This window comes from Homo sapiens, chromosome 10, assembly GCF_000001405.40.
Source record: "Homo sapiens chromosome 10, GRCh38.p14 Primary Assembly".
In the NCBI taxonomy this organism is placed as follows: domain Eukaryota; kingdom Metazoa; phylum Chordata; class Mammalia; order Primates; family Hominidae; genus Homo; species Homo sapiens.
In genome coordinates, this window is record NC_000010.11 from 89,421,546 (window position 1) to 89,447,639 (window position 26,094).

Below are 26,094 nucleotides of genomic sequence, written 5' to 3' on the forward strand. Positions count from 1 at the left end.
TAAAATCAGGAGGACCTTGAGAAAATCCCTACTCCAACCAACTTTATTGATATGAAGATTGAGACCAGGACTGGTGATATGACTTAAGGTTTCACAACTAATTTGTGGACCATAATTTCTTTCTCCTGGCTGCTGGTTCAGTAGCACTCATGCCCATTTTACAGTTTCTACCGATAATCATTTGTTGGAGGCAACAAACTCCATTTGTTGGAGTCTGTCAAACTCAATTGACAGAGTTTATCTGGCCATGATGTGACTATGCTTATGTGACATCACCTACAACACAGGCAGGCCCAAGGATAGTCCCTTTATGGAATATGTTCATTACTGAGATTAAGGAACATGACAGACCTATAAAACAATGTGGCATGTTTTTATATAATTGGTGAATTACAAGAAATGAAAATCCATTTGGCCTTGACAATTAGAACAGTCTCCTTTGAGTAGTTCAAGTGTAATAACATTGTAACCCTAATGTGGTAGCAATGAGAAGCACCTCTCAGATCTCTAGCTACAAGGATTATAATTGTCTGAAGGTCCCATCTCTACACATTGAAATCTATCACTACATTTACACTGAGGCCATGCTTCCCAGTGTGGCAAGGTTACTAAGTCATGTCCTCTCCTGAGAGATGCAGTACTCCTCTGATGAGCAATTTAAACTCAAGGACTCCCCACCAGCCTTGCCAAATATTCCTTAAAACAATACTGTAATCTAAGATGTTTTTACCCAACTTTTATTCCTTCTGTCTCTCCTACATATGGGGTCAGACCTGCATCACAGTTGGATGGCTCTCCCAGCCTCTGTCTGCTCTCTTCCCGTTTTTTCTCAGAGGTGTTTCCATTACATTTCTTGCATGTTCAACATCCCATCTTGGATCAAACTGACACATCTAGTGAAAGAAATTTAATTAGAGGACTCTAATTGGCAGTAGGTGAATAATGTTTACATAATATAAATGTCATTTATTGTTCTTCAACTTTCTGGATGAGTAATTATGATTAAAGAACAAAACATGGCTGGATGTGGTGACGCATGCCTGTAATCCCAGCACTTTGTGAGGCTAAGGCGGACAGGTTGCTTGAGGCAGGAGTTCAAGACCAGTCTGGCCGACATGGCAAAACCCCATCTCTACTAAAATTACAAAACTTAGGTAGGCATGGTGGCACCTACCTGTAATCCCAGCTACTTGGGAGGCTGAGGCACATGAATCACTTGAACCCAAGAGGCAGAGGTTGCAGTGAGCCAAGATCACATCATTGCACTCCTCCAACCTGGGCGACAAGAGTGAGACTCTGTCTAATAAATAAAGAAATAAATCTTTCCAATGTTATAATATTTGATTTGGAAAAGAGAATGGGGAAGAGAGGTAAGGGAAATTGTCTTAGTTTCTGGTGTGCCGCTATAATAGAATACCTAAGACTGAGTAATTTTAACAAGCAGAAATTTATTTCTCACAGTTCTGGAGACTGGAAGTTCAAGATCAAGGAGCTGGCAGGTTTGGTGTCTGGTGAGGGCCTGGTCTCTGCTTCCAAGATGTCACCTTGAATGCTGCACCCTCTGGAAGGGAGGAACTCTGTTCCTCACATGGCAGAAGAGCAGAAGAGAGCAAGAACTCACTCCTGCAAGCCCTTTTCATAAGACCATTAGTCTAGTCATGTGGGCAGAGCCCTCAGGAACATCTCTCCTTAGGCCTCACCTCTCAATACTGTTGCATTGGAGATTAAGCTTCCAATCTATGAATTTGGAGGAGACAAAAACATTCAAACCATAGCAGAAGAATAGAGACTCAAAAGATACAGTTAAGGTTTTATGGAGTAAGAATTAAATATGTTAGTATAACTTATAAAACAAATTAAGTAAAAATTGAGTTGTGGGATGAGAAGAGTTCTTTAAATTCAGTTAATTAAATCCTAACAACATAGCAGAAAACCAATAGATAAAGTCTATATTAAACAGATCAAAAAATAACATTATAAAACGTACCATCACAGATTGGGATAGCCCCTTCTCACAAAACTAACTTTCTTCCTCTTTCTATCCCTTCAGAACAACATAGCAAGTGTATATTTAAAACAAGTTTATCACTTAGCTTTCTGCTCATACATCCCCTCTCTTTCTGCTTGTACATCCCCTTTTCTCCCAGGACTCCAGCCTCCGCATTCCTCTCTACTTCTCTTCTGAGCCAAAGTTCCCTGCCTCACTGGGATGTGGTTTCTTCTTCTTTAGCTTTCTCTTTTCCTAAGATCAAGCCACACACACTGGATCCCACCCCAAACACAACTACCCCCTTCTTCGGAAACTTCATATTTACTAAGTTGAATTTGTTCATTCAACATTTTGTATTTCACTTTGAGGAATAAAACAGCATCTAATTACTAGAAATGTACTAGAAATGCCATGTATATATTCCCAAAACTGTCTGAACTGAGGGGTTCCTCTGTAAGTGATGAACTGGATTTCTCAATACCTCCTTTCATGATGGCACCTAGCTGAGTAACTAAAGAAATAATGAAGGTGACATGAATAAGCTTTGGGAAAGCCATGCCTCAATGGGAGCACACAGGTGCCTCACAGACAACAAACTCTGAAGGGCAAGCATAGACTGAGGCCACTTGGATTGAACACTTAACATAGAACACTAGCGTTCTTGACTCCGGTGATGCAATGATAGTTATAGCTAACTCTTACATAGTACACAATATCTGCCGGGTGCTGTTCTAAGTGCAGGGCATGTAGTAATCTTGTAAAATCCTTACAAACCCCCCTAAAATAGGCATTTTTATTCTTTCCTTTCGCACATGAGTAATTAGGATTTAGACACATTAAGCAAGCCCAAGGTCGCATACCTAATAAGAGGTGGGAAAAGGATTCAAACTCTGGGTGTCTGGTTCTAGAATCTAGCACTTAACTACTATATAATACTTTCTAAATAGTCTTAAAATTTGGAATGAAGGATATGGGAAGATAGGACCAAATCTTTACAGACCAGAGGAGAGAGATTCTAGAGGATCACACCAAGCCCACATTCTACAATCATAGGTCACCAGACACTATTGTACACAGAACCCCGAAATTCCCTGGAAGGAACTAGGAAAGGGAACTATTTATGTACATTAGCTGCCTCTTGATGCTGGGATTAAAAGCTGTTCTGAAACCTCAGGGAGAATGACCTAAGAAACTGACGGACTCCATCTAAGTGAGGGTTTGTTTCCAGAATTGGATTTTGGAATTCAAAGATTTGGAATAAATTCCTCAAAAAAAGGAAGCCACATATTTTGGAAGACTGAAGAACCAGTAAACAATTAGAAGCCAGAACACGTACCCAGTCCTTTGTCCTTGGAAGGAAGGATATATCCCTTGTGCACACACCAACCAGCATCAGACCCTCACCCAGTGTGGAGAGCAAAATAAGAAGGCAAGGAGATAGTTTGATATGGCCATTCCACAATGTATACATATTTTAAAACATCATGTTGTACATGATAAATATACATGATTTTTATTTGTCAATTTAAAAAGGAAAGGGAAGGGGCGGGGAGGGGATGGGGAGGGGTGGAGGGCGCTGGAACACGTGTAACAACTAGGGCTGGGGTCACCTGCGCTTTAACATCCCCTGAGTTTGCCTTGAGCCTCCAGGCCATGGACTTTGGAATGTGGCTGCGAGTCCCTAATTCTATTAAATATTAATTTTGTTCAAGAGTAACTTCATCTCTCTTCACATGCTTTTCCTTTCCATACCACATCAACTCCAGCAAATCTCACCAAAGCAAACAAACAACAACAAATATAAAAACCAAAACACCAAAACTAAAATCACTTACAGGTCATTTCTATATAAAAACCCTTTATTGAGAAGATCTTAGGAGACAGAAGAATCTACAACTTTAAAGTTAATATTAGGTAATCTCTGTTTTTCAGAAAGAAAAAGGGAGAGAAGTGAGAGGGAGGGATATTGGGAGAGGGGAGACAGGAAACAAAAAAGAGGAATGGAGGGAGCAAAGAAAGAAGAAAAGAAGGAAAGATCCCCAACCATTTATTGATATGCCTGCCTCTTTCTGTGATTCTGAGCTTTGCCTGTTTCCCTGTGTCTCTTCTCCCTTCAAAACCGTTCCTCCATTTTTCTTAAACAGAGCAATTCAGTTCTAACTCTTATCCTCATACTCAGTCACAAACCCAACTATGAGTTGCTTAGTTCTTAGTTCTACATAAGAACTTTCATTTTAACATGATCCACTCTCCTTTGAAAGCAATTTCAGTTATAAATAAATAGAATCCCCACGATTTCACATGCACTACACATTTAAAGTAAATTTAATCACTTTGTCATATTTGCTGTACAGTATAATCCGATATTTTATGTTTTCAAATTGACATGGAATCCATTCTTCTGTATCATTTGGTTTCAACATTTTCTAACATTTGGCTTCTGGTATAACTTTGAGATTCTGTGTCTCACACTTTAACTCCTTTATCAACTCACATCAAATAAATTAACACATTAGTAGGGGTCACAGTGGGAACAAGAATGGAAGGCTGACAATCTGGGTTCCAGAGAAAGGCAGAGGACTTCAAATTTTTTTTACGTTATGTTTTACCAATGGCTATCCCTAGTCAAGCCAGTCAAAATCATCATTCATATTAACTTTGATACTCTATGTTACAGAACTGATATAGGTAACCAAAAGCTGAAAACTGCAACACAGCATCTTTATCCCCGTGTTTATACTTGCAAGAGGAACAGGATAAATGTGGGATGGGTAACGAGCAAGGGGGAGTTGGAAGAGGAGGAAACAATGACAAACTTTAATGTTTGTGCCTTTAAGGTAGGCCTTGGGGAGTTGAACAATTGGAGATTCCCCTACTCCTGGGAAGTGTTCTTGCTAATTCCAGCAGATGGCAGTGCTGCATAATATGTCAATTTTAAAACTCTTTTCTGTGCTTAAGGATCCAAACTTTGGATCCTTAAGAAGAGAATGACACTCTTTACAGTTGAGAGATGAATATTGAATTATAACCCCATGCCCTGAAAATCCCTGCTTTGTACTTAAAGAAGGCAACTGCAATCCCCAAAAGTCCCAGACACCTTTATGGACCCGTCATCGGAACATTTATGTCCACGTGTGCTTGGTTCTGCACTGGCCTGAGATGCCTGCTGGAACCTCAAGGAGCCACACAAAGCAGCTGCCTCACATCTCTTTCCCTCACTCCCAGCCTCTTGCCCTGAAAAAAGTAAGGGCTGATTCCAATCTGTTCAATCCTGTCTTCAAATTCCCCAGAATCAAATTTCTTCAACCCATAATGAATTCTTCCTCTCCTAACCCTCAAAGTACTACACATGCCCTTAGCCTCAGGTCAACATTTAATAACTTCTTGGTGTTGTTCTAACCTGAGTTGGTTTCAATTTACCAATTAGGTAGTAAATTTGAGATCATGGAGGGGGTCCTATGTGTATTTTTAATTCTCCACCATATGTAACATGGTTCCAGATTCCAAAGAGGTGCTTGATAAATAGTTGGTTGATTAACTCCTTTCACCATCTCTTAAAAATGTCTGCCAGCATACTGTCTAATTTTCAATAATGCTTTATGAGTTAGGGGCAGCCATAGGTCTGGTCAGGACAAAGATTTCAGTCAGAAACATCTTCTGCACCTAGCAAAACCCTGGCATAAATATTTTGTGTAAAAGCAGTTTGTGTGGTGCCTGTAATTGAAACCCTGTCTTTTCAGGTTTGGGGCAGGTGCAATCCACATTTTCCCAACGTTCCAGGGCTCCCTTGTGTGAACAGTTCCTCTTCCCTTGGGTTTCCGTTCATTTGTGCACAACAGCTATTTAATTAAGCCTGTCTGGGTTGAACACAGTAGTATCATTTTTTACATTCAGGCCTCAATCCAAAGTTTGTTATTTAATATCTTTTGATCAACTCTTTACTTTGCCACTTTTATTCCCTTTCCAAAACCTGCTCCATAATGGTCAATGCTCCAGAGCTTCTACTGTTTTTGTGACACTTCTAACAAGGTGTCCTATTTTGACACACCAAATTAGGAACATCTAATGTATCCTGTCTGTTCTGGGTACAAGAGCAATTTGCACCCAAACAAACCTGCACCCCAACCCTTCAATCCGCCCCACCCTCGCTAATGTTACAATTCTCCTTAGCAGTTTTTTCATTTATTTGTTCTTTACACTCATTTATTCATTGACCAAGTATTCATTGAATGCCTACTCTGGGTCAGGCACTGCTCTAAATAGTGAATGAGTCAGTATGATCCGTATCCTCAGAAAGCCTGTGGTTTTGTGGAGCAGATGAAATTTAAAAATAAAAACACACATCAATATATATGATCATAACTAAAAGATGTTCTTTGAAGGAAAATAATAGAATGCTATGAGCATGAAGAATGTGGGTGGTAGTGGCGGGGGAGGGATGTATAATTTAGATAAGGGCAGTGGTTAAAGATGGACTCTCTAGGGCAGTGACATTTAAACTGAGACCCAAAATATGAGAAGAGAGTGATCACAGGGATCAACATATGCAAAATGCCCCAGGGTCAGGGGTATAAAGGGGAGGCTTGGTACTTGAAGGAACTGATAGAAAAACTGGGCGCTAGATTGTAGTAGAAGATGGGGGATGTAGCCTAACGTCAGGAACTACACCCTGTGAGACTTCGTAGGTCCAGTGTGGGCACTGAATGCTCACACCAGCCCTGTCAGTTCTGCGATTCTGAAAAAGGCTTTGCTCTTCCCTGTTTGAGCTTTAGAAAGCTGTTTGAGCTGTTTGCTCTTCCCTGTTTGAGCTTAGGGTCAGAAATCTGGATTCATCCACCTGCACGTGGGCCGGAACCTCAGGTAACCACACAGAAGCTGCCCCCCAACCTTTCTCCCACTCCCGAACTCTTCCCTACCTTGACCTATACCCACACCTTGCTCTGCCCACAGTTGCAAAAATAAGCTATCCAAGAATGAACATAGGTCTTCATCTTTCGTAGGACAAGGTCCTTGAACTCTTCCATCATTACACTGGTCAGTGGGAAAAGGCCTAACTTGTCATCACAAAAGAAACATATTTATGGAAAAATGTGAAAAGGGCTGCATTTGAAATGCTAATTCTAAAGCCTTTTAGTGCCAACTCAACTCAAAAATAAACTGCTTTTTACTTAATTCTAGACCAATCTTAGGTCCCAGATCCCTCAAAAAGACCTCTGACCCTTAAACAATTAAGAGCAATAATGAGAGTAATAATGATCACTCTCATCTAAACCTCAAAATCCCTTTTCATTGGTTTGACTCTCTTGGGTCAGGAGAGAAAAAAAAAAAAAGCCTCTTTTAACTTATTTAATACAGCCCTGGGCCTCAGGTAGATAGATCCTTAGGGGCTGGGGAGAAAAGGAGAAAATTTTAATCTTCAATTGAGACACTCAAAGCCCATATCAAGAAAGGAGCCCCAATCAGCTTTGTAAGTAATGATGTGGCTCATTAATAGGTGATACTAACCACACATGTCCCCGTTAGCAGGAACAAATTATTCTTGCCAAGTTCAGGCATTCCCTGGCAGCTGAAGGAAACATGAGCTGCCCACATGTTAATATACTTCAAATTGCTTCTCAAGGGAGAGGATAATGGGTAGATAATTGTAGATGTGGGGGGATAGGTACCTCAAGTTCTTTACACTATTCATTCTACTTTTGTATATGTTTGAAAAGTACCATCATGTTTTGTCTTAAATGTCAGTCCTTTTATCATTATTTATATCTTCCCACTCCCCAACCAAATAGTTTTCCGTGCTATGGGACAAAACCTCAGTTATCTGTCATTGGTAGCTACGCTGGCAACAGATATAAAAATCTATTGCTTGACGGAGTTAAAAAAAAAAACAAAAAAAAAACTTTTTTTTTTTTTTACTCAAACTTTCAAGTGTGAGAAAAGAAACTCAGATATCCACCCTGAATTTGTACTATTTCATTTCAGTAAACAATTTCAGAATTAGACCTACTGGGACCAGGAAGGGGAGTGTCAAATAGACATTACCATTTTCATTATCACTGGCAGTGGTGAAGGCAATTCAAAAAGAACTCAACTCCTAACTGAGAAAGCCTGACTTTGGTAATGTGGAAAGCAGACAGTGGAACTAGCTCACTTTTGGGACAAAATATGCTCCCCAATTCACCCCCTCAACCCTAAATGCTCCCCAAAAGAAGCCTGGATCAATCAACAGCAAATTAAACCACTGAGCCTGAAAGTAGTGGTTTTGATAGATCCTCTTGGGAAAACTCTTGGAAATCTCCAATCTAGAATCTTCCTTCAATATTGATTAGAAGACTGAAGCATAATCCAAAGGATTTTATCTGTCCAAGGGAGCGTCGGTTTCCCAACAGCTTCTTGAACCCACATAAGATAATCCAAGTAGGCACAGGGGAAGGACACAGGGCTTCAGCATCAGCAGCATCCCAGTTTTACAGGATTTCACACTAGAGGATACTGAGCTGTGGGAACTGGTGCCTCAGTTTCCACATCTACAAAATGATAATAATAGAGGTCACTATGGGGATTAAATTCGACAATGACAATGCATAGGAAGTGCCTGGCATAATAGCTCACACATTGGAAGAACTCAATAAAGACTTCTGGTTTTTGTAAATCATTTGATTATTTAACACATCTTAAAATGCTGACCACATCTTAGCATGATCCAGACAGGCCCACTCACCATCCAGTCCAAACCTCTTGTCCGAGGGAAAAATGTCTTTCCAAACACAGGACAATAAATTCATTTTATTTTGCTTTTGAAATAAGAAAATATTAGCATAAATATTTCATCTATTAATGAAATTACAATCTGAACAAAAAGCCCAATCATACAGTGTATCTACAAAGTTAGATAATGTCTTCTGATTTTCTACTCAGATAATTCCAAAGTAGAGCTTACAGTAGTAGAAAGAAATATTTAAGATGTAAAATTATCCCACTATAATTTTGTTCTTGATTCCACAAAATACATCATTCCCATGAATTTCTCAGTTTTGAAATAAACAGTATAGACACATGGAACATTAACACTAAAATTCTGTGTAGAAATGTAAAATAGTAGACCTTAAGATGTACATTTTTCTTACTGATTTTCTAAAAATGCTGCCTCAAAAGGGAAAGTAAAATGCAAATCTATGCATGTATAAAGTCAAATCTCCCAAATGTTTTTATACAAAATCTTTAAAATTTCTGATCACTATGCTTATTTTTCATAAATACTTGTAATACTTCACAGAAATTATATTGCAGAACCACATAAACAAAATTTTGTTGTGATCATGATAAAAAATATGTATAAGAATATTTGTAACTATTCATATTTTTAAACATCTTTAGGCTTGAAAATTCAAGAAATGATATTTAGGGCAAAGTGCTATTCCAAACAGATATAACTTCATCTTAACTTTGACATTTTACAGATACCTTCCAATTTTTTTTTTTTGAGATGGAGTCTTGCTCTGTCGCCCAGGGTGGAGTGCAGTGGCATGATTTTGGCTCACTGCAACCTCCACCTCCTGGGTTCAAGCGATTGTCCGGCCTCAGCCTCATGAGTAGCTGGGACTACAGGCGCCCGCCACCACGCCTGGCTAATTTTTTGCATTTTTAGTAGAGACGGAGTTTCACGATGTTAGCCAGGATGGTCTTGATCTCCTGACCTCATGATCCACCCGCCTCAGCCTCCCAAAGTGCTGGGATTACAGGCGTGAGCGACCATGCCCAGTCCCAAATATTTTTAAAATTGCAAATGACAAAGTCAATGGGGTTCAAAACTAAATTCTTAAACTAAGTAAGGAGATAACAGACAACATTTAAATTTGTCTTTGGAAAACAACTATGAAATATTACCATTTTCTCCTATCAGATCAAGTCAGTATTTCATTCTGAAAGCAATGTATTAACATGTGATTTTATGAAATAATCAAGGTATAGGCAAGCTCTCTTGCGGAGCATACACATTAACTCAGGATCATCCTCATTGCTGTTTTTTTTCCCCCAGCACTTGTGAGGCCTTGTAGGGGACAGTGGATTAAATAGCCTTCAGGGTCAAAACAGTTCCTTGACATTTGGATTTTAAACTCCTGGTAATTAAAATTGATTGCATAATTTACTCCTATTACAGGTGTGACACACTGTGAGATTCAGGATTATAATTCTTTGGACTTAAAATGGTTGGAAACAAGCTGGGGGATCTGGACTTTTTCTTCCCTCCATGCCTTCCCTCTTCAATCTGAAGACTCAGAAATTATCCCAAACCATAGAAAAGTGGAGTATTTGAGAATGAATAAACTTATAATCCAATGAGTAGATTTCTAATTATTATCTATAAAGAGATGAAGAGCAGTGGATAGTGGAACAAGAATTAACACAGGGAGAAAGGAATCTCACCTTTAGAATATCTCTAGGATAATATTTTTCAGACAACTGACTCCCTCCAATCCTCTTTTGGGTAATGATAAAACTAAATGTCTGATCTGCAAAGAAAACTCTCACCAGAGACCTGCTGATTCAAGAATTCAGTTCCTGCCCAATTGGAATACTGCCAACATTTTTCCAACCTAACAGGAATGCGTCTGCAGTCTAAGTAAGAGCTTCTTCTCTGAAGGTAAAAGACGGGAAGTTTTGGTGTTGTTGACATTTCAGGTAAGATTGAGAGGTTGTCCTTGTGACTAAGTGTGTTCTGCTAAATTTAGAGTAAGTATTATATGTGATGGTAACAAATGTGAGAGCCTGGAACCCAGTCTTAGGAAAAGAGCTTTCGGTTTCCAGTGGACAATTTCAAATGGATCTTACCAGATGCCCTTTAAGATCTATTCCAACCATGGCATTCCATGATTATTTGGATTCTCATAGTGGTGTCTACCCTTGGGCAGAGGCAAGGGCTGGCTGGAAGACTAAGAGAAAAAAAAAATAAGAGTTTCTTTCTATATTAATCACCACTTTTTGAAGAATCTCAAGTATTCTTTAACAATCCCAAGTAAAACCCTAATGAGAAACTCCACCATGAAAAAGTATGGCATCTTCACTCTTCACCACCACACCCAAGCTGACCTCCCTTCTCTAACCAGAACAAGGTAAGCAAAGCTACACGTTAATGTTTCCATTTTCTTTCTGAGGAGGGAACATGAAGGGCCTGAGACTGGAACAAAGCTGCTGCCCAGTGTCATCTGCTTTGGTTATGCTTTGAAATTATCCCTAATTACAGCTAATTATATCAGCTGTGTCCTTACATTTCTTACAGAGCTATGCCCATTGACCAAAAGATACGAGTTCAGTTATGAGCACAAATCCCAAATGAGAAGGCTCTGGGCTAGTCCAGCTTTCCTTATTATGTGCTGTTTTCCCTTATAAATATTAATATGTTAACAAAACAATAATAATAATTTCCTTGGAAGGCAATCCTTCTGCCAAAATAAAAAGTTTCAGAAACATGAAGAATCTGGTGGCCCCACCTCTCTCAAACCTGAAGATTCTGGGGCTCAAGGCCTTTGGTCATGTGAGGCTGTAGCCAGGCACTGCTGTAGCCACAGGCTCCCCATGTTTCTGATCTAATTCTCTTGCCACAGAATAAGCCACTGATCCATTGGTCCATAGCTGCAGCTTAGGATCAGATTCTTTGGCAATGAACTGCAACTGGGTTTTTCTCATTCTCTTTATAAGTCTAGCAAAGCCAAGCAACACAGAACTAAATATCATTGAAAATCCACAGAGGAGGAATGCTGCAGTGTAGCTGCCGGTGGTATCTACCAGCCGTCCTGTAACAAACAACAGCAAAATTTTATTTTTGAGTTGAAAATTCAATTGCTTACCCACTCTCAAATTCTAATGATTTGTAAGGATAATAATAGATCGATAGCACCACCAATTGTAACTTTGAAACAAAAAGAGGTCACCTAAAAATATTGTGCAGCAACTGAAAAATACATTCTGTTTTCCAGGAAAACTTCTAGAGTGAATTGATTGTTGTTCTGTAAAGTGCTTGGAAAAGCATCATGTACTTAGTAGTCACAACGTAAATATTAGTTACTATTAACCCCATGAAATCTGGTAAAAAGATAAAAATAGCATCATTTAAATTATTAAGGTTGGAATAATTTACCTAGGGTGTTAAGAGAACATATTTGTACAAAATGCCAGTAGTATTCACAGCACCCATACACTGTTTTGAGTAACATGACATGCTTCAAAGCAGTATCACATTTTCAACTGGATTCAGTCATTGTACTCTATCCAGTTTGAAAATCAGAACTTTCAGCTATTTTAGCAGTTGCAAATGCAAACTAGCTTTTTTTTCTTTATCTCTTGTTGCAACAAATTAATCTCAATATCTATCTCAGCTCTAAATTTTGAGGAAAACCGGGCATATGATATGCAAAATAGGGTCCACAATGACAGAAAACCAGTGGAATAACATTATACTTCGTCAGGCAATTATTTTATAATTAACAAAGGTTTTTTTAAATTCCTTCAAACTTTCCTTATCTGCCAAGAAAACCCACCAGAGAAGTATATGATTTCTTCTCTTACCCACTTCAGATCCATTCGTCAAAAATAGCATGTAGAAGTTGTTATAAGCCCCACAAAATTTCCTGAATTTAAACTGCTCTCAAATATTTTAGTTATTGTTTGATTTACTTGTGCAATTCTATAGCACCAAACAAAAAAGACTGAGTACACAGTTGTCATTTGAAAGGTAAATAAATAAGAAAATGATACAATAAGAATTAATCCTCGAATTTCCAGTAATGAGTATCATGTCTGATTTGCCAATGAAGGCCACGAACTGAATCCCAATTTCATTTGTGTCCTGTGACCTTTGATAGAATGACACTGTTTCTAAAGGTTGGTGAGCACTAAAATAAGCTATGAAAGGAGGATGTGGGAATATTTTGGGGGCAGTTTTCAAAAATGGAGCATTAAACATAAAGATCTGTATCATGGAGTTCAAACTGAACAGGGTTTTGTCATCTGCACCACTCAAGCGGCCACAATTTCCCCTAGTTTGCTGTTTTTATTCCACCCCAATTGCTGGATTTGGAAATAGCCTGAAACTGTCTATTCACAATAATAGCTAATAGCAGAAACTCTGCCTTCCTCAAAAAAATTCCTGCCTTCTTTCTAGGCAAAGTTTTGGGTTATTTCTCTTTTGCCTGTCTTCAGAGAACTTGTTCACTCTCTCAGTTTTAATTTAGGCAGATAATAATATGGAACAGTCATTCTCAATATTTACCTCGCATGAGCATCACAACAAAGCTGGTTGAAAATGCAGATTTCTGGAACTCATCCTCAACATTCAGATCACAGGTGGGAGTGTCAAGGAATCTGCATTTTTAACAAGGTCCCTAGGAGACTCTGATGCAGGTGGTGTAGACCACATGCTTTAGGAAGGAGAAACAGCTTCTGACCTGTTTACTCCTGTCTCTCCAGCATGATAAACACAATGCTAGTTACACATGCAATATGTATTTGTTGAATTACTTGTTTAATGCATACAATAAATATTTGTCAAATTGTTTAATCATGCTTCACTCTATAGCATTTTAGAGTTTATAAAACATTCTATGTGCTTTATATGATGATTCCCAAATCTATATATAAACCAGGCCATCCACTAAAGCTCATATTTCATCTTTAAACAGCTCTATTGAGCATTTTTACCTGTATATTTCAGAAATCTCAACATATCTAAAAACCATATTCATTATTTTTCAGGCAAAGCCACTTTCTCGAATTTCCTTATTTTCTCAACCATGACATTATTTTCTAAGTCATCCTTGACTTCTTTCTCTCATTCACCTCTGTATGCTAAATTCTGCTGAATTTTGTTTTGAAAACTTCTTCCTTGCCCCCAGAGCTCATCTTTATTTCTGCTGCAGCAGCCCTAGCTCAGGCGTTTATCAGCTGCCTCCTAAACTATTAGAATGGAATCTTAGCTACCTCTCTCCTAAGTTACTAGATCAATTGCTAGATCACATTTTCTAACATATATACTTTACCATATTATCCTTTTACATAAAAACTTTAATACTATCCACAGTCTCTGAAGAATAGAGCCCAGTTCCTCTGTCTGGCACCCAAAACACTCCACTATGACACTGGCGTTTATAATTTCAGCCTCATCACCCACTGCCCCCTGTTGGAATCCTGTTCTCCCCTGAGACTTCCCTCTGAATGCACCCTACTTATTTATAAGGCTGAACAACTGCTCCATCCCCCTGCTCCCATCATTAATATGGAAAGGAATCAAGACCCTAATTTGGGACTTACTCTTTCCAGGTAGGCTAAGGTTCTTACTTGGTTGGAAGAAGATTATAAAACAAGGATGTAGGTGGGACCATGATGGTTTTGGGGGCTCTTATATCCCTTTTCTCTTTCACTCTTCCCCAACTCTCTTGACAGTCCTTCTCATTGACTGCATGTGGGTTTGCTGTTTTCACATCAATATGCCAAAGAGAAAAGGTGGTTGGGGTTTCTCTCTGGAAACTTACCTGCGATGGGTGGGCTCACCAAGTATGGCACTGCGTGAAGGAAGTATACCACACCAAGCGCTGATGACAAAGAGGTGGTCCCCACTATCTCTGTGGTCACTACTGGGATCAAAGTCACATAGGCACCATCAAAGTAGCCAAAGGTACAAGAGAAAGGCACGAGCAGAGGGAGACTTTGAAGCATTGGGAGGCAGAGATAGCAGAGCCCATCCATTCCCACGGCAAAGAGGTAGCAAACATACTGGTAATTCTTCAGACACCTGTAGATTTGAAGAACAAGAATAAGTGCAGGAGGTACACATTCTGTAAAAGAGCTTTAGAGCCACGGCTATGCAGCAGTAAGCATTGCAGTTATTTACAGAGATGGCTTTCCCATTGTGTGTTATGTATGCTGTCTTCCTATCTTTCTTTTTTGCAAATGCAAGAATTCATCTCTCCAGGAAGCATGGTGTGGTAGAAAGAATATATACTTCAAAATTAGAAAGGTAGAATATTAAAACTAGTCCTGCCACCCACTGCCTGCCTAACTCAATTTCTTTAGCTATAAAATGGAAAGGTTACTTATCTCACAGGGTTACTCTGAAATTAGTCGTGAAATAAAATAGAAATAAAATGTAAAATGGGGTCTCCAATCTTTTGGCTTCCCTGGGCCACATTGGAAGAAGAAGAATTGTCTTGGGCCACACATAAAATAAACTAACACTAATGATAGCTGATGAAAAAAAGAAAGAAAGGAAAGGAAAGGAGGAAGGAAGGAAGGAAGGAAGGAAGGAAATAAGGAGAAAGAAAGAAAAGAAAGAAATAAAGAAAAAGAAAGAAAGAAAGAAAGAAAGAAAGAAAGAAAGAAAGAAAGAAAAAGAAAGAGTGCATAAATCTCAAAATGTTGTAAGAAAGTTTACAAATTTGTGTTGGACCACATTCAAAGCCATCCCAGGCCACAGGCAGCCCATGTGCCACAGGTTGGACAAGCTTGATGTAAAGGATCAGAAGGGTAATTTTCCTAGCAGTCTACCTTATTAGATACTTTTAGGTATGTTATCCATTGGTATCTGGCATGTCATAGATCATAAATACTCAATAACCCAAGTGGTTACACAAAGGGGAAACTGTAATACAAAGACATTAAAATGATTTGCCAGAGATGATGGAGGTCTTGGACTAGGATGAAGTCTAATATATTTCAAGATCTCCCAAGTGGTATTCCCATTAATTTTCCTGATAACTCCAAACCCATTTATGATACCAATAATTTCAAAGAATCTGTATAATGTCAGCTCCAACAGCTTATGCTTTACAAACATTTTTCTACTCACAGCCTCATTTGAACATCACAAAATAGTATAAGGTCAACAGGCAAATATTGCACTGGCTCATTTTACAGATAGAGATCATTGTGGATCTGAGGGTTAGGTGACTTTCTGTAGGTCACAGGGTTAATAAGGAGCAAAGCCAGTGCAAGAACTTAGGTCTAGTATGCCTCAGAGTAGAGATGCCTCCATTAGACCTACACCTGGCTGCTTCTTGCTGAGTTATTTGATTGTGAAAATAGGTAATCTTTGCTCTTCCACTTCTTCTTTAACCATTAAAAATGTGGAATCAATACTAAATATCATATTCATAACACTGGAGAATGGCAGTTGGATCCTGATTAATTACCAAAAACATAATTTGTGAGAAGCTACATGATGGTATTAGCCCTGCAGGTCATATCTCAAGTGTGAATGGTTCATCATTTAGGAGAATATGAGTAGCCTGCACTCTTCAGTCCAAACAGATGAGCATTTGCTGAAGAAATTACTTGGTAGATTTCTTATAACTTTGGTTTCTAAGCCTGCAATTACAAGGAAATTACTTGCAATTTGCATTGTCAAACATGAATATGTGGCTACAGACAATGTGTTATCATTGCACCTGGCCCTCCTGCCTAAACTGAATTCTGCTCCTTTTTCCATTGCCAGTCAGGACTGGTTCAAAAGAAACTAACACCACCACACCCAGCCAAAAGTTGTCTTGCTTGAGGACTGACTTGTCTTGGGATGGAATTAAATCTACCGCCAGAACTTGTAGTTACCCTAGGCTTCTGCAATTTAGACACATCTGGCCCATGACATCTTTTTGTACTACCTGTGAATTAAGAACGGTTTTTCCGTTTAAAAATGGTTGGAAAAAATCAAAAGAACAATATTTTGTGACACATGAAAATTATAAGAGAAATTCACATTTCAGTGTGCATAAAGTCTTATTGGAACGTAGCCACTCTCTTTTGTTTACATATTGTCTGTGGCTGTTTTGTACTATAATAGCAGAGTTGGGTAGTTATGATGAACACTTGGCCTACAAAGCCAAAAATGTTTACTATCTGTTCCTTTACAGAAAATTTTGCCAACCTCTGATCTAGAAGTACCAGCAAGGGAGATGCCTTCAGATACTGCAGACTTGTTAACATTATTCAGACCTAGGTACTCCACAGGGTAAGGGGCTGAGGAGAAACTCAAGGCTTAAAGTCCCCTGGTGGGGAACCAATTGTGGTTTCATGAATTTTACCTTCTGTCGGTCAGCCATCCAAATGTGATATTGCCAATAATGTCAATCACTCCAAGTATGGACATAAGAAAAGCAGCTTGCTGATGACTCACTCCAACACTCAAAGCATAAGGCACCAAGTACACAAAGAGAGGGCTGCAGCCATAAGCCATAAACAGAACGGAGACGGCTAACACAACAAAGTCTGACATGAGTAAAAAACTGTACTCTTGCTGCAAACAGCAACAGAGGCAAGTCTGTGCCCATTCTTTGGTCAAAGATGAATAGGGAGACACCCGCTTAATGTCTTCTTTCTGAGTTCTACACACATGGTTCTGCTCTGGAGTTGTGTGGTCCTCTTTAAGAGTAATTGGCCTCATCAAGGCACCACATACACAGAGATTCAAGACAAAGCCCCCAAGAATGAGTAAGGCTCCCCGCCAGGAAAACTGTTCAATAAGGAGCTGAACCACAGGAGCCAGGATGAAGGTGCCAATGCCACTTCCTGACATGGCGATACCATAAGCAAGGGCTTTCCGTCTGCTGAAGTACTTGCCAACCATGGCAATAGCTGGAGAGTAACAAAGTGCAAATCCAAGACCTGAGGATAAAGAGAACTCTATGAGTGCTGAAGTACCATAAACAGCCAATGATATCTCAGAATACAATGATTTATATTAAAGAGAATCTGACCTCTCATTAAACCCTTTTAAAGCTGCTTTTTACACCAAGCTTAAAATGAGTCTCCCCTCACCAGTCATTCACAATTTGGAAAATGTAGAATATATATGACTTTCTTTTTAGGGAGAACACCCTTAAGGAAATATGACTTCATAAACAAAATTAAATGAAGAACATAAAAATAATTACACAAACTAAATTGGAATTCACTAGAAAATCTGGATAATGCCAACCAAAGAAACTTATCACTTCCTCCATTTTTTAACTTAAATTATCCAGACAATTCCCTAAACGCTTCACTGCCTATGAAGACACAACACTGACAATCTGCACCACTCTGGAATTTGGATTCAAATAGCATGTACAACTATGAAAATTCCAGGGTAATTTTACATAGTTGGGAAACATCATGCCAATTTTATATGTGAACATAGCAATGTATATTTTCATATATGTGAAAATATCTCTTAAGGTCAGCAGACAAATGTTGACACTTTAGAAAGTTTTTAGAGACCTTCAACTTTTGGGCTGGGTGCAGTGGCTCATGCCTGTAATCCCAGCACTTTGGGATGCTGAGGCAGGCAGATCACTCGAGCTCAGGAGTTTGAGACCAGCCTGGGCAATATGGCAAAACCCCATCTCTGCAAAAAAAAATACAAAAATTAACCAGGTGTGGTGGCATGCACCTGTAGTCTTAGCTACTCAGGAGGCTGAAGGGGGAGGATGGCTTGAGCCCAGGAGACAGAGGTTGCAGCTGAGATTGCGCCACTGCACTCCAGCCTGAGGACCGAGCCAGATAGACCCTGTCTCAAAAAAAAAAAAAAAAAAAAAAAAAAAGATCAATTTCTATTACTTTTTAAGTGAAGAAAATCTGAGGGGCTGTGAGCCTGGATTTTATGGCAACTAGAATGTCAGAGAAGGAAAAAGAGAACCACCTTCAGAAGCTCCTGCTTCCAACTGCAGTGCACAGTAGCCAGCAACCCAGAGTTGCCTGGACTGAGGGGTTTCTGGATGTGGGACTTCCAGTGTTAAAACCAGGACAGTGCCTGGTAAACTGGGATCCATTGGTCACCATAGCAGCAGTCAGGGTCTTTGGGTTACTAGGGGTGGGTGTACCTTCTTTAGCTAACATAGCCAAATTTATAGCCTCACTATGAGGTTACGTCCTTTATTGACCTTATTCACGCCACACCAATGGCACAATGCCCAGACAGGAGTTGGCGCTACTCTCCACACCCCTTTGAGTGATAGGCAAACTCCCATTGCAGTCCCACAATCCTATGCAGTCTCTGTAAGAGTGATTTATTGAATGTACATGTTGCTTTTTTCCATGGCATTTATTATGATTTGCTAAAGTGATACTTCCACAGCATTGAGAAAGAATGTGTAATATAAGAATATTCACAATAAAGGGTTTTTTAAAATTAGAAACTCCCATTTATTGGACAGCAATATTCATTATAAAGCAGGAGCAACTCAGATTGACCGTCAATAGTATTTTAATGTCTTGGCAATGGCTGGAAGAATGACCATTGCTGAAAATTCATGTTGCCCTGGGTAATATCTTGTTTCTTCTGAGTACAGAATCTCAGTCATACACTAATTCCAAGGAGAAAGCTGCAGTTGCTTTTACCATCTGGCTGAATTACAGTGGAGATGCATTTTCATTAGGGTAATGTAATCTCATTTCCAGCTCTGTTTAACTGCTAGGTAGGTAGACATAAGCTAGGTCAACTAAATTATGCATCTAACAAAATGAATATTTTATGAATTACTTCTCTGTTGATGTGCTTGGAAACCCCTGAATGGAGTGGGGTGAGACAGGTGGTACAAAGTGCCCTTACCTGTAAGAACTCCCAGAGTGAGGTAGAGATGCTTCAGACTCGTGGCAAATGAGCTCAGGATGAGTCCAGTAGATGCAAGCAAGCCACCCAGCATGATTCCCACTTGACAGGATAAATGGTTACTGACAACACTCCCAAGTGGAGCTTCAAAAACAATAAGAAATAGGTTCAACAGAAAGGCCTTGAGGGCACTGTGAAAGGCTGTGATGTGGCATTGACAGAGGAGAGAACCTTTAAAGCATTGAGCCCACCCTATTAATTCTGCAGCTTTGGAAACTGAGGCCCAGAGAAAGGAAGTGATTGTCCATGGTCCCACAGATAATAAGCAGCAGGGTTGGAATAGAACTCAAGTCTCCTGACCTGCATTTCAGGGCTCAATCCTCTTCATTCTATTATAGTCATAATGGCAGGACGGTAGGGTGTTTTTTAAACAGTGGATCAACTTTCTCTAAATTACATGTCATTTGCACAGGGATGCTTACTATAGTGTTGATCATATATCATTAGCAATAATGGTGACAGTTAATTGCTGGAGAAAGAAAGTGGATAACACCATGTGACCAGCAGGGTTATGCAGTAAAAGACCAGGGAGAGAGATCATAGACAAATTCCACAATCTGGCCCAGTTTTCAGGCTTCAGCACACCCTGTGGTTGAGATATCAAAGCCCAGAAAATCTAAGAAAAATGCTTCATGCCCATGGTGACATTCTGGTTGGTCTCACTTGGTTTGTGGCTTACCAGTGTATCAGAATTATGTTGGCCTCAAGGCTCATAGAATATTAAGTAAAACCAGAGACCAAAATGGAACTGAAGTTCAGGGGTATATGGCATGGCCCAAGGTCACCAACAAGAGCACCTAACACCGAGTGTGAGGTTATTTCACGCCCTTACTCTTTGGGTCTCTCAGACTAATGGCAGGAGTGATGGGTGAGGAAGGCATGTGAATTTCCTTCTAAGGAAAAATTCATGCTGACATCAGTAACTCTTAGTAGCAAGATCAGAAGACCTGATTTTCCAGGTGTCTGAAGAGTATGATCATTTTTGTATTGATCAGACTGAAATTGGGGGTCAACTGTTACCTTCTCTGTTCATCACAGAGCAGATCTGTTCCCAGTGGGTGTCCCACATGTGATTCTGCAGACTCTCATCCATACTCTGAACTTTAATGTTCTAATATTATGTTACAAGGTGAGCAGGTAGGTATATGGTAATTGTGTACAACAGGCCTCTTGGTCTTGCATAGAATTTAAATATGTTGCTTCTGACATAACCCTACTCAAAGCTTGACTGTGTGAACCATATTGACTGTGTGACCATATTGGTCACCTAAGGTCATTTCCTCCTATTTGGGGGATTATGAATATCCTCCAAAAGATAGAAATGAGGGAAATTAGTCACTTTTATCCTCTGAGAAGACAAACATGGCTTCTTTGGTGTGCTGATGCAAATGCTGTGACTAATAATGTGACCCTGAAAATCAAGTGGTTTCAAAAAAAAGACAAGCTCTATAACTCGAATATATGATTTTTTGATCCCTTAAGACCTTCTTCTTAGTTGAAAGAGTTGAGTTGATTTAGCCTTCTCATGAAACCTGCTTTTAGTCTTAGAACTGCTCTCAACTTCCTCCCAACCAAACAAATATTATACATTTCAGTACAATTTAACTGATTCATGAGTAAATGAATTTTTTTTCCAAAAAGAAATATGAGTCAGTGCCTAGAATGGAATAAAATGGTTATTATGAGTTACTGAATACAGGTATTATTTCCCTTTTGCCACTAAGACATGGCTTGAAGAGATGAAAATTTCCGAAAATACTCAGAACTCATTGAAATGAATGGATTAAGTGGGTCTAAGCTACAAACAATTTGATTTAATCTTAGAAACTCTCTAAGACATCAATTTAATAACGTGAGTTTGAAATTTATTTTAAACAAATGCCAGGTTTGTTGTCCTCTACTACACAGATGGAATGTTAATTCCATACATTTCTAGAACACCCTACATACCTTATATAACACTTTCGGAGTTCCTTGAATGAAATTACACCCATAATGAATATGTTTATCTCATGACGACATAATCCTATCCTTCCCCAATACTTCTCTAAGCATGAAGATTTATATATGAAAAAGATGAAATCCATGAGCCAAATGTCAAGCCCTGGGGGAGGAACAGAATGCAATCCAAGACTTGAGATGTGATACAACACTGTTGGCACTTATGACTATGTAAAAATGGCTCATGGTACTATCAATAACTATTTACACAACTTGAGAATGAGAAGGCCATAGCATTTGGAAGAGAGAAGCCAAGCATATACTATAAATTGCTTCCAAAATCAGGACGTGTTCTAGAATGCTCAGCGTCCTATCTCTATATGGAAGAACCAAATCTTACGTGTTCTTTTGAGTGTATTATCTAACTGTTCTACCTGACATCAGCCAAGACCATTAATTACAAGAGCAAGTCTGGTTGGCTTTGGCTGAAGATAGGATTGATCTTTTCTTTATATTATATAGTCCTAGCCAGTTTTTAATGTAGCCCTTCTACTTAGGAAAACTAGTAATCAAAGTCAGTGGAATGTCATTGTCATATACAGTTCAAGAGTGGCCAGTAATTCCCTATCCTAGTAAGTAATACTCACCACAGAGCATGGTCACACAATCTACAATGGAATGGATCCATGCCGTTTGTGCGTAATCCTGAGTGAAGTATGTCTGGAACTCCACAAAAAAAATTGAGATACATCTGAAAAATACAATGCAGGCATTTTATACAAAAAATGAATGAGCATGCATTTGAGCCAGAACTTAAAATGTTTGGTTCAATTAGCTGCTCCTGTTTCCAAGGGTTTTAATTGCTAGACCATAATAAGTGGGAAATCAGAAGCTGACCATTTGGGCCATGCTGGATAACAAGAAGAACAAGTGTTCAACCACCACAGGGGCTACTAAAGCCAAGTAGATGTGAAAACTACTGCTCTAAGGAAGGTTTTATGGAAACAAAAGCAGGTCAGGAACATGGATTCTTATTTATTTTTGTATTTTGCTAACTTCTTCTGAGAGGTTATTATACAAATTAAGATTTGACAATAAAGAATTATATATCACCAGCAATGTCACCTCTAGGATTTATATAAAGGAAATAATCAGGTGATATTGATGATAGATAGATAAAAGGATATATTCTGGAGAACTAATTTAGTCTATAAAATTATATATATGTGTATATAAAAGGATATATTCTGAGGGATATAATAATAATAGATATATAAGAGGATATATTCTGGAGAATAGCCAAATATCATAACCAATGTAACTGTTCATCAATAAAGGAGTGGCTAAATAAATTATGGCATATCAATAAAATAAAATAGTAAGTCTTAAAAATGATGATGTTGATCTGTATATATTGATTTGGAAATAAATTTGCAATATAATGTTAAGTAAAAAATAAGTTAGTTACCAAACAGTTCATATAGTAGGAACTTATTTTTGTAAAAACAGTTTATGTAAATAGAAAATTTCCTGGATGGCCGAATAGGAACAGCTCTGGTCTGCAGCTCCCAGCGTGATTGATGCAGAAGACAGGTGATTTCTGCATTTCCAACTGAGGTACCTGGTTCATCTCACTGGGACTCGTTGGACAGTGGGTGTAGCCCATGGAGGGGGAGCCGAAGCAGGGTGGGGCATTGCCTCACCCAGGAAGCACAAGGGGATTTCCCTTTCCTAGCTAAGGGAAGCTATGACATACTGTACTGGGAAAATTGGGGCACTGCCACCTAAATACTATGCTTTTCCAATGGTCTTAGCAAATGGCACACCAGGAGATTTTATCCTGTGCCTAGCTCAGCAAGCCCTACGCCCATGGAGCCTTGCTCACTGCTAGCGCAGCAGTCCGAGATCAAACTGTGAGGCGGCAGCCCGGCTGCGGGAGGGGCATCTGCCATTGCTGAGGCTTGAGTAGGTAAACAAAGTGGCCAGGAAGCTCAAACTGGGTGGAGCCCACTGCAGCTCAACCAGACTTCACCTCTGGGGGAGGGCATAGCTGAACAAAAGGGAGCAGAAACTTCTGCAGACTTAAATGTCCCGGTCTGACAGCTCTGAAGAGAGCAGTGGTTCTTCCATCACAGTGTTTGAGCTCTGAGAATGGACAGACTGCCTCCTCAAGTGGGTCCCTGACCCCCGTGTAGCCTAACTGGGAGACACCTCCCCGTAGGGGCCAACTGACACCTCATACAGCCAGGTGCCCCTCTCAGACAAAGCTTCCAGAGGAAGGATCAGGCAGCAATATTTGCTGTTCTGCAATATTTGCTGTTCTGCAGCCTCTGCCGGTGATACCAGGCAAACAGGGTCTGGAGTGGACCTCCAGCAAACTCCAACAGACCTGCAGCTGAGGGACCTGACTGTTAGAAGGAAAACTAACAAACAGAAACGAATAACATCAACGTCAACAAAAAGGACATCCACACCGAAACCCCATCTGTAGGTCACTAACATCAAAGACCAAAGGTAGATAAAACCACAAAGATGGGGAGAAACCAGAGCAGAAAAGCTGAAAATTCTAAAAACTGGAGCACTTCTTCTCCTCCAAAGGATCACAGCTCCTCACCGGCGACAGAACAAAGCTGGACGGATAATGACTTTGACAAGTTGACAGAAGTAGGCTTCAGAAGGTCAGTACTAACAAACTTCTCCGAGCTAAAGGAGGATGTTCGAACCCATCACAAGGAAGCTAAAAACCTTGAAAAACGATTAGAGGAATGGCTAATTAGAATAAACAGCATAGAGAAGACCTTAAATGACCTGATGGAGCTGAAAACCATGGTATGAGAACTACGTGACGCATACACAAGCTTCAGTAGCCGATTTGATCAAGTGGAAGAAAGGGTATCAGTGATTGAAGATCAAATTAATGAAATGAAATGAGAAGAGAAGTTTAGAGAAAAAAGAATAAAAAGAAATGAACAAAGCCTCCAAGAAATATGGGACTATGTGAAAAGACCAAATCTACATTTGATTGGCGTCCCTCAAAGTGACAGGGAGAATGGAACCAAGCTGGAAAACACTCTTCAGGATATTATCCAGGAGAACTTCCCCAATCTAGTGAGGCAGGCCAACATTCAAATTCAGGAAATACAGAGAACAACACAAAGATACTCCTTGAGAAGAGCAACCCCAAGACACATAATTATCAGATTCACCAATGTTGAAATGAAGGAAAAAATGTTAAGGGCAGTCAGAGAGAAAGGTCGGGTTACCCACAAAGGGAAGCCCATCAGACTAACAGCAGATCTCTTTGCAGAAACCCTGCAAGCCAGAAGAGAGTGGGGGCCAATATTCAACATTCTTAAAGAAAAAGAATTTTCAACCCAGAATTTCATATCTGGCCAAACTAAGCTTCATAAGTGAAGGAGAAATAAAATCTTTCACACACAAGCAAATGCTGAGAGATTTTGTCACCACCAAGCCTACCTTACAAGAGCTCCTGAAGGAAGCACTAAACGTGGAAAGGAACAATCGGTACCAGCCACTGCAAAAACATGCCAAATTGTAAAGACCATCGATGCTAGGAAGAAACTGCATCAACTAATGGGCAAAATAACCAGCTAACATTGTAATGACAGGATCAAATTCACATACAACATATTAACCTTAAATGTAAATGGGCTAAATACCCCAATTAAAAGACACAGACTAGCCAATTGGATAAAGAGTCAAGAGCCATCAGTATGCTGTATTCAGGAAACCCATCTCATGTGCAGAGACACACATAGGCTCAAAATAAAGGGATGGAGGAAGATCTACCAAGCAAATGGAAAGCAAAAAAAAAGCAGGGGTTGCAATCCTAGTCTCTGATAAAACAGACTTTAAACCAACAAAGATCAAAAGAGACAAAGAAGGCCATTACATAATGGTAAAGGGATCGATTCAACAAGAAGAGCTAACTATCCTAAATATATACGCACCCAATACAGGAGCACCCAAATTCATAAAGCAAGGACTTAGAGACCTACAAAGAGACTTAGACTCCCACACAATAATAATGGGAGACTAACGCCCCACTGTCAATATGAGACAGATCAACGAGACAGAAGGTTAACAAGGATATCCAGGACTTGAATTCAGCTCTGCACCAAGCAGACCTAACAGACATCTACAGAACTCTCCACCCCAAATCAACAGAATATACATTCTTCTCAGTACCACATCACACTTATTCCAAAATTCACCACATAGTTGGAAGTAAACCACTCCTTAGCAAATGTAAAAGAACAGAAATCACAATAAACTCTCTCTCAGACTACAGTGCAATCAAATTAGAACTCAGGATTAAGAAACTCACTCAAAACCACTCAACTACATGGAAACTGAACAACCTGCTCCTGTATGACTACTGGGTAAATAACGAAATGTAGGCAGAAATAAAGATGTTCTTTGAAACCAGTGAGAACAAAGACACAATGTACCAGAATGTCTGGGACACATTTAAAGAAGTGTGTAGAGGGAAATTTATACCACTAAATGC

At 39.4% G+C, this 26,094-nt stretch overlaps 1 protein-coding gene across 7 annotated transcripts in view, besides 1 other annotated feature; it reads right to left on the minus strand.

The window, feature by feature from the left end:
* Positions 470 to 1,669: an enhancer, noted in NCBI's record as "BRD4-independent group 4 enhancer chr10:91181772-91182971 (GRCh37/hg19 assembly coordinates)". NCBI's record gives its function as "activates an origin of replication core promoter dependent on BRD2, P300/CBP, MED14 and CDK7 cofactors, and independent of BRD4, by STARR-seq in HCT116 cells {active_cell/tissue: HCT116}" and the evidence as "EXISTENCE:reporter gene assay evidence [ECO:0000049][PMID:35650434]".
* SLC16A12 (solute carrier family 16 member 12) overlaps positions 8,754 to 26,094 on the minus strand; it is a 126,406-nt gene continuing 109,065 nt past the window's right edge. For all 7 annotated transcript variants that reach the window (XM_047425223.1, XM_047425221.1, XM_047425222.1 and 4 more), the window contains 5 exons: positions 22,211 to 22,314; positions 19,563 to 19,706; positions 17,059 to 17,638; positions 14,515 to 14,774; positions 8,754 to 11,781 (listed from right to left, as the gene is read on the minus strand). In XM_047425223.1, coding sequence (XP_047281179.1) covers positions 11,519 to 11,781; positions 14,515 to 14,774; positions 17,059 to 17,638; positions 19,563 to 19,706; positions 22,211 to 22,314 — 1,351 coding nt within the window. In that variant the 3' untranslated portion in view covers positions 8,754 to 11,518. The remainder of the gene's footprint in view (positions 11,782 to 14,514; positions 14,775 to 17,058; positions 17,639 to 19,562; positions 19,707 to 22,210; positions 22,315 to 26,094) is intronic.